We start from the raw sequence: 9,201 nt of genomic DNA, 5'->3' as shown, positions 1-9,201 counted from the left end.
TACTCTATTTCCCTCCTTAGGTGACCTCAATCCATTCCTTGGCTGTACATCCCATCTGTGTGCTAAGCACATCAACATTTGTATCTATAACCATTTCCTGTACACCCAATGCCAGAATCATATCAAAACTCTCTGCTTAATGTCTCTACCTGGGTACCTTAAATGCTCAGAACAAAACACTGGGTTTTTTTCCTAGCAAAACATGGCCTTCCTTGTGATGTCCCCAGTAATAGCTTTATCTTTTGCCCACTATTACTCATTAAGTAGCACTATCAGCTGTGCAACCTGCAAACCCAGGAGTCACCCTGGATTCTTCTTTTCCTTGCCTGTGACATCAGAACACACGTCCAGTGGAAGTTAACCTTGCAAATTATATTCCAAGTCTATCTCCTTCTCTCCAGTGTCACTGATGGCTGTTACCGTCTCATCCCCAGGCCACAGCAATAGCCCTAGCTGGTTTCTCTCCTTCCTGTCTTGCCTCTCCACAGTCCATTCTCTACTCAGCAGCAGGAAGAATATTTTAAAAATTAGAGTACCCCACTGCCCCTCTGCTTCCAGCCCTCTAGCAGCTTAAGAATAAACTCCAAATCCCTTGCAATAGCCTCCAAGCTTACAGGATCTGGTCCCAGCCCATCTCCGCTCTCTGTCTACTGTCACCTCTACTGTTCATCCTATACTCTGGGTTCCTTGAACTCGCCAAACCCATTCATGCCTCAGGGCATTTGACCTGCTGTTTCTTCACCCTGGAAGACTCTTCTTCCTGTTCTCAACTTGGTTGAAATCCTTCAAATGCTACTTCCTCAGAAAGGCCTTTCCAGAGGGGCGGAGCCTGAGCAGGGAAAGGGAGGATGAAGCCCATTCTACATCCTTGGAGGGAGCTTTGTCCTTTTCCCAATCAAGTCTTCATACAAGGGAGAATTCTCATGGGAAACAAAGGAGTTAAAGGGACGGGAGCACTGAATGCTGATCAGCCCCCAGATGTCCACAGTGGTCTGCAGTGGCTACAGGCTCAGTGGTAGGTAACAAACCCATGGAGCAGTCAATGATTACAACCCACCCATCAGACCTTGACTTGTGACTTTGGGTCCTGGTCCTTGGATGGTCCCCCATGTCCATGTGTTGAATTTTACCAGTCTTCTAAGACCTCCCAGAACTCTTTTCTGGTTCCCAATTAGATGCTGTCTCTCATTCAGCTGAGTTCCTAAAGCACTTGGACTCTGATCCTCCTAAGGCCAGGAAATGTGCCTTCTTGCTTTTCCCTCCTCCAAGCTTAGCACTGAGCCTGACACAGCAGGCACACTGTGAAGAAATGATGAAAGACTGTTGGCTGCATAGATGATTATCTTGTGACAGTAAAAATTTGCCTTGCCTTCACGGACTTGCCTTTTCCCCACACTATTAGATGGCAAGCACATTGAGGTCAAGGCTGAATCTTAACTCACCTGTGTACTCCTCATGGTGCCTAGAGCAGCATTTAGTGGGCTCTCAATGGATTTCTGTAGCATGGAATCCACCACTGAGGGAAGTAGTCCAGAGTCATCTCAGTCTAACAAAAAGGACCAATGGTGATAAATGCTAGGTTTCTGCCTTCCAGGAACCTGGAGTCCCACCGAGCAAAGAGGTAGGACTTCTGGCACTTTGTGTGGTCTTTTGACATTTTGCAAGGAGCACAGGATTCAGCTAATATGGTGCTGAGGTCTCCGTTGGGGTTTCCTCTGGAGAAGAGAGAGTTTTTCCCCTTTACTGAAGATGCCAAATGAGGCCTGGCATGAAACATGGATTCACAGGGCCTTTTGTGTGCAAACAATATATCCATTCTTGAACAGTTTTATATTTCCTCATCTGACTTGCAAGGGTGGCACTTTGTATAAACCACATTGTTTGAGCTGAAAATTGTATTCTACAGATTTCATTTTGATAAGAGAATTCTGGCTTCATCGCCAACCAACATTTGAAAAAGTCACATAAAGAGTAAATGTCTTGAGAATACATTTTCTTAGTGCACTAATTCTGTTAGGGATCACAATTCTCCATAGTTCCTTAACTTGTTGCATCCTGAACATTCTTTGATTAACCAGAAGTGTGTGCTGGCCAAGGCAATAATCTTGGAGCAACTACCTCTCCCTCTCTTTAGTGACAGCTTCCATGGGTGCACTATCACACAGGCGAGGTCAGTGATGCCAGAGCCATTGTCATCATCATCACCACCATCATCAACATCACCATCAACATCATCATCATCATCATCACTGTTATCATCAACATTCACATTCATTGAGATCTGTCTATGTGCCAGGCATCTTGCTAAACGCTTCATATGCATTATCTTGTTTAGTCCTCACATCAGCCTTATGAGGAGCTCAGAGAGGTTAAATAGCTTGCTCAAGGTCATAGGATTACTAAAATGTGAAGCTACCTGGGCAATGCAAAGCCTCCACTCATGAGCACTGTATAATATGTAATGCATTGATGAACACTATTCATTCACTCCTGGGAGGCTTTTAGTCTTCTGAATTGGCCTTGGAAGACACCTTGGCATGACGGAAAGGGCATTGATGTTCCAAATCAGGCAGACCTCAGTCCTACTTTCAGCACTCTTATTTACCAGTTAGGTGACCTTGGACAAGTTCCTTAATTTACCTAAGATTCACTCTCCTTATCCTTAAAGGGAAGATGATAAGAATAATTTTATGAAGTACTGAGTAAGGGTTTCCAATACAGCAGGTGCACAATAAGAATATCCTGACAAACACTTACTGGGTGCTTACCGTGTGCCAGACAAAGAACTTAATTTTCATAGGTTATCCCATTTCATCCTCAAAACAACTCTGTGAGATCAGTACTTTTATTCGATTTCCATTTTATAGATGGGTAAGTCGTGGCTCAGAGAGGTGAAGTTACTTGACATCGGTTTTGGGATCAGACTAGCCTGTGTGTGAAATATAACTCTTCCAACTAACAGTTTTCTGACCTTAATATTTGAGGCTTAGTTTCTTCACCTAATATATAAATTACCACCTCATGAAAGTATGGTAGAAATGGAATAAAATAAGGTAGATAATATGCAGTCAAAATTGTTCATTTCATGCCCTTTTCTTTCATGAACTCCCTGCTGCATCTCCTTCATCTAAATTCTCAGAATATGTTGTGTCTCTCTTTTGACCTGTATTACCAAATGCTTCAAATGTTAAGCTGCAGGCCTCTAAGAGTCAAAGATTATCTTTGTCTTTGGGTCCCTCACAACATCTTTCACTGATACTTCCTCCTTGTAGGCATTAACAAATGAACATATGAATAAATGAAATAAATAAATGTGTGCACGGAGCCAAAAGGTGACTCCCCTCAACAGAGGGCTTCATGGCCAGCACCTTCAGTGCAGTGTCATTGGAAATTTGATTTGAATGGATATCTTTGGCTTATCACAAGGGCAGTATGGTGGACAGAAACCTGTCTTCTCATTTCTATGGCTGTCCCTTTACAGCAAGGGGAAATTCTAGCCAGTCGCTCTTTGATATGGAAGGAGTCAGAAAGCCTGGGAGTTCATGTGCCAGAGGAGACATGATTCACAGTCATTGCACTGTGTAGGAAGGACGAACTGGGATGCAAACTGCTAGCATGTTCCAGGGTTTGCCTCTCGGTAATGTGAGCTTTGCAGTCTGGCCAGGAGTGAGCTTTTTACCATAAACATTCAGGGCATGCTGCTTATGTTTTAAAAGTGACGTGTTTTAATTTCCAGCCAAAAATACTATATGTTTGGATTGCAGTTTCTCAAGTTGCTAAAAAATTATTCAGAGGAGATGAAAACCTGCCATGCGGTAGAGGAAGCAGCCTGATGTTTAATGCAAAGGCTAAACCCGTTCTCTGGGAAGCATGTTCTTCTCTTTAAACCAGGCCATGAAAGTAGACACTGCAGAACTTGTTATTTTCAGTCTCCCACAAATTGGTGCCATTTATGGCCAAGTTGGATTCTCTAGGACCTATAAACAATGTCAGGACACTTGGTCTGAATATGTATTTTTTCATTTATTATGGGCATATCAGACAAGATAGGCTAGGTTAAGCTGCAATTACAAACAACTCTCTAATTCTAACATGTTACGACAGTGAAGGTTGCTTTCTTGCTCAAGTACATATTGCTCATGGGTCAGCGGGAGGCTGTGCCCTTTGCCTCTCTATGAGAGACATGGTCTGCTGGTATAGCAGCTACCATCTTGAACCTCGCAGCCACAACACCGGAGGAGAGAGTGTGCACTCTGGAGGACTCACAATGGCAGCTAAACAGTTAAATGCTCTGGCCTAGAGGCAACATGTGTTGCCTCTGCTGACAACTCATTGACCAGAACTAGTCACCCAGCTGCATCCAGCCACAAGGAGCCAGGAAATGCAGCCCATTCTGTGCCTGGAAGGAGAACCGGACAGAAGCACGCAGCACCAACGAGCTCCACACTGGGAATTTAATGCACTTGAAACTGTTGAGAGAAAAGAAGAGAAAAATCATAATCGTATCTCAGGGGAAGAGAAAGCTTGACTCTTAGAGTTTTTTTTTTTTAATCCATTCTGAGCAGGATACAAGATTTTTTTCTTTCTCTCCTTTAACTTCTGAGGAGTTGTTTATAAATTCTCTCTCTACTTGAAAAACAACTAAGCCATTAGAGTTGAGATGGATTCTCTGGTGTGTGTGTGTGTGTGTGTGTGTGTTTGTGCGTCTGTATAATGTAGTATAGTGTGGTATAGCTGACCAGAAGACAGAGAAAGTACATTAGTATGATGCAAAATCTCCCCTGAGCTACTCAAGGACTTAGAGGTTGTTGGAAAGATGGAGAATCTTCAGTGTCCAGTTCTCTGAACTGGTCTTGGACAGGCTCATGATGAACCTTCTGAAACATAGGAGTTCCAACAGGTCTTGTGGTTAGAAGTTACCTCCTTTATTAAAGTAGTTCCACAATGTCTGAGCCTCAAGATGAGATCCAGGTTAGGTTTGACTATAAGGCAGGCTCATACACTGTATTTTTCCCCTCAGGGACAAGAACACCGAGGCCAGGCGACATCAGAAATAACAATAAGCACAATCCCTCCTGTCCATATCCAAGCTCAAATTTTGTCCTCTGATAACCCTCTGCCACAGACTCAGCATCAGTATCGGTATTTCTCAGAGGACAGACCTGAGTCCTGGAGAGCTAAGATGATTTGCTCAAGGTGGCCTGGTTAGTAAGTGACAAAGTCAGGATTTAAACTTAAGACATCTGGACACCAGGTCCAGTGCTCTTTCTGTTGTGGTCTCCATGGCAACCAGAAGCCTGTGCATCCTAAGTTTATTTTCTTATTACCAGCAACCTAAAACATGGGTACACATATCAGGTGTTGGGAGGAATCTCCTTCTCCTGTGCCCCATGTTCTTAAGGGAAGAGATGGCAGCAGAAGTGACACTCCGGTATTCATGCAGCTTCACGAACTAGTCCCCAGAGGAGGAGTGATGTATCTGATGGGCCTGTTTCAGATACATCACAACAGGCATGCTCAGCTCAGCCTTTTCTGGGTTTTCTGGGACCCACCTTCAGGAAGGATGCATTCAGGACCAAGTATCATGTGGCAAGTTTTCCAGGACAAGCCCTGCCCTGGAAACAGGCACACTGTGGTCAGCCCATTTACTGGATGGGTAAATTGGAACCTGAAGTGAAGTGCTGGGAAGCCCACTGTGGCCATAAGATCTAAAGCCATGCTCTTCAAATCACCTTCAGAGATGATATCTTGATATTTTGATTTCTATCTATGTCCTCTGCTTTATTTCTTGGTTGGTTCCAAACTTACTTATAGGAGGGCAGAACAAGGTAAAATTAATGATCACTCCAAAAATCCAACTTCAGGAAATAATCAGTTGCCTATGAATGGATGAAGGTTAGTGTTGAATTCCCCAGTCCTCTGCCTTCCTGCTTTCTTATGATTTAAAAAAGTGGACAGATTTCCAGGGCTCTATGAAAAGGTCCATGTCTTGTTTATGTCTGAATTCTTCATGCCAAATACAAGTCCTTGGTCTGTGATAGGTCCACTGAGAGTGTTTGTAGGATAAATAAAGTCCACAATTGGCCCAGGAAGGCAGGTCAAAACAATGGACAGAGCATGAAAAGGCCTGAGAATTCCTGACTCAGGAGCTTCAGAGATTTGGCAAGAGATAAAGGCAGCAGCCTTTGCAATGGTTGTGCGCCCTGGGGGCCACGGAGACTCCCCACACCAGCAGGCCCTGATGCCTGCGCTTTCTGTCCATGCAAGTGTGGCCCTGAGTTCAGGTCTATTCCAGGGGACCCAATGAGAACAAGGCATCCTTATCAAACAGGAAGAAACCCTACACACACCTTGGCTGGGGAGCCCTGCACTCATCTTGCCTGCAGAGGCGTGATTGGCACCCAGGACAGCACTCTCCCCACATGGGCTCTCTCTGATGGGTCACAGTAAACTCAGGATTCACCAGGCCTGAAGCCTGGGACTCTGTTTTGATCAAAGACTCAATTCCTGAAGAAACCTAAAAACTCTCTGTGTGTCTGTGTTTGTGTGAATGTACCTATACACATTCTGTGCACATATGAAAGACATGCATATACAAACAGTACATGACAACACATTTTCTCATCCTTTGCTGAAAATCCAAGCCTGTGGTCTTCACTTTTCTTAAAGGTGGTATGTAGTGTTGATGTTTGTGAATAGGATCTGGCATCTAGTTGTCTGGGTTCAGTTCCCAACTGCAGACGACAGATACACACACACACACACACATACACACACACACACACACACACACACTTCTCCAACCCTCAGCATCCTGGGGTTTTAAATGCATTCCCATTAAGAGTAATTAACCTGTCTTTTACTGCCTCTGGCCTTTGCATCTTATTTAGGATCCTCAGTCTCTTGATCATCTTCATTCCTCAAATTATTTCTGAAAGCCTTACATGTATTCAAGAACAACTTCGTCACTTTGATGTGGTGTCCACCTATTTCTTTTTTCTCTGATGTCCACTGCTAAAGGGGCTGTTGATTGAAACTGTTTGCACACAGAACAGAGCATCTGGCACATGATAGGACTATTTAGTCAGGGTTCACTAGAGAAACAGAATGAATAGAAGACACACACACACACATATATGTACACACACACGCATATAAAGAGATGTATTATACTGAATGAGCTCACACAATTATGGATACTTAGAAGTCCCAGGATGAGCAGTTGGCAAGCTGGAGACCCAGGAGTGCCAGTGGTGTAGTTCCAGTTTGAGTCTAAAGGCCTGAGAACCAGGAGAGCTGACGGTGTAAGTTCCAGTCCAAGGGCAGGAGACCACCAGTGTTCCAGCTCATGCAGTCAGGTAGCAGAAGTTCTCTCTTACCCAACCTCTTTGTTCTATGTACATTTTCAACTAACTGGATGAGGCCCACTCACATTAGGGAGGGCAGTCTGCTTTACTCAGTCTATCAATTGAAATGTTAATTTCACCTAGAAACACACACACACACACACACACACACACACACACACACACACACACCCAGAATAATGTTTGACCAAAGGTCTAGGCATCCTGCAGGCCAGTCAAGTTGACACATAAAATTCACCATCACACTAGGTAATCAGTAAAATATCACCTAATTATGTATTAGTTTATTCTCATGCTCCTATAAAGAACTGCCAGATACTGGGTAATTTATAAAGGAAAGAGGTTTAATTGACTCACAGTTCTGCAGGGCTGGGAGGCCTTAGGAAACTTACAATCATGGTGGATGGGGAAGCAAATACGTCCTTCTTCACACGTTGGCAGGAAGGAAAGTGCTGAGAAAAAGGGGGAAAAGCCCTTATAAAACCATCAGATCTTGTGAGAACTCACTATCACAAGAAAAGCAGCACAGGGTAACAACTTCCATGACTGAATTACCTCCCACTGGGTCCCTCCTACAATATGTGGGGATTACGGAAACTACAATTCAAGATGAGATTTGAGTGGAGACACAGCCAAACCATATCAAATTAATTAACTAGCTAATTCATTAATGAGCAAAGCAATATTGCTGCAGGTTTGCTTGTCACCATAGGTGCAGTATCCTGTTGATGGTCCTGAAATTGTCCTTGGCCACCCTCATACCCATGCGTAAGTTGTCCTGATGAAGTGGGGAGAATATTTTCCTTCCACAGGCACATGGCACAAGTCCACGTGCAGGCAGCTGCACTTTGTGATGAGCCCTAAGAAGGCTGCCCCGAACTCCCATGTCTCACTGATATCCTCTCTGCAAACCACATTATAGCTTCTTTCTACTGCTCACATCTCTAGGACTCAGACCTGCATGGATGAGGGCTGGCTGGGTACACATCTGCAAGCCTGGTCCAGAAAACATGGTCCTCCATAACCCCCTCCACTCAGGGTGCACATGCCCTCACCCACCCCAACCCATCCCCTTGTTAATCCACCCTCCTCCAGGTTGCTACCAGGAGCCCCTTCAACTTTAGACTTGGGCTAAGCCCTGAGCTTTCCACAGATATGCATGGAACACAGGGAACCCCTGCCAGCAGGGCCTTCAGCAGCCAGTTTATTTTGCTCGATACTCACGGTCTGCATTTGCTTCAGTGCACCCCAGAGGTGTTTATTGGCTCATTGTCACACCTCATGTGGGCAGAGCTATGGCCCTCACTGAGTGCTTTGTTCTCATCACCTTTGGTGGTCACTGCCAAGAAATGAGCAGTCTCTGCTCATCTGTGCTGGACAAAGGCCAGGCTATTCCCAACGATTGGCTTGGTAACTCTCATTGGAAACAGGAGCATCAGGCACATGATGTTGCTCCCCAGACTCCAGAAATGGGAAGGGGATGTTCCTCTGAAGGGCACTTCTGGCTCGTGGCAGAATTCATAGAATCTCCATTCCAAATAATTGGAGATTCTTTAGTCCTTCTTGCACCTCAAGGCTTGAATCTACTTCACCATATCTTCACTGAGTGCTGAGTCTTGGAACCCCTGCTTACACGGATCTGTAGGAGTAGGGGTGCTTGCTACCATCTGCACACAACCTATTGCTAAACAGCTCTGGCAATAAAAGTAACAGTAACACTCTGATAATAATAATTATTACAAAGACCATTTATAAGGCACTTCCATATGTTCAGTTCTCAGCACCTTACCTGGCTTGTCTCAGTCAATGCTCCCAAGAACTCTCTGAGGCAGGT

This window comes from Homo sapiens, chromosome 1 (assembly GCF_000001405.40).
Source record: "Homo sapiens chromosome 1, GRCh38.p14 Primary Assembly".
NCBI lineage: Eukaryota > Metazoa > Chordata > Mammalia > Primates > Hominidae > Homo > Homo sapiens.
The sequence above is the reverse complement of the archived record's forward strand: the minus strand, read 5'-3'. Positions refer to the sequence as shown.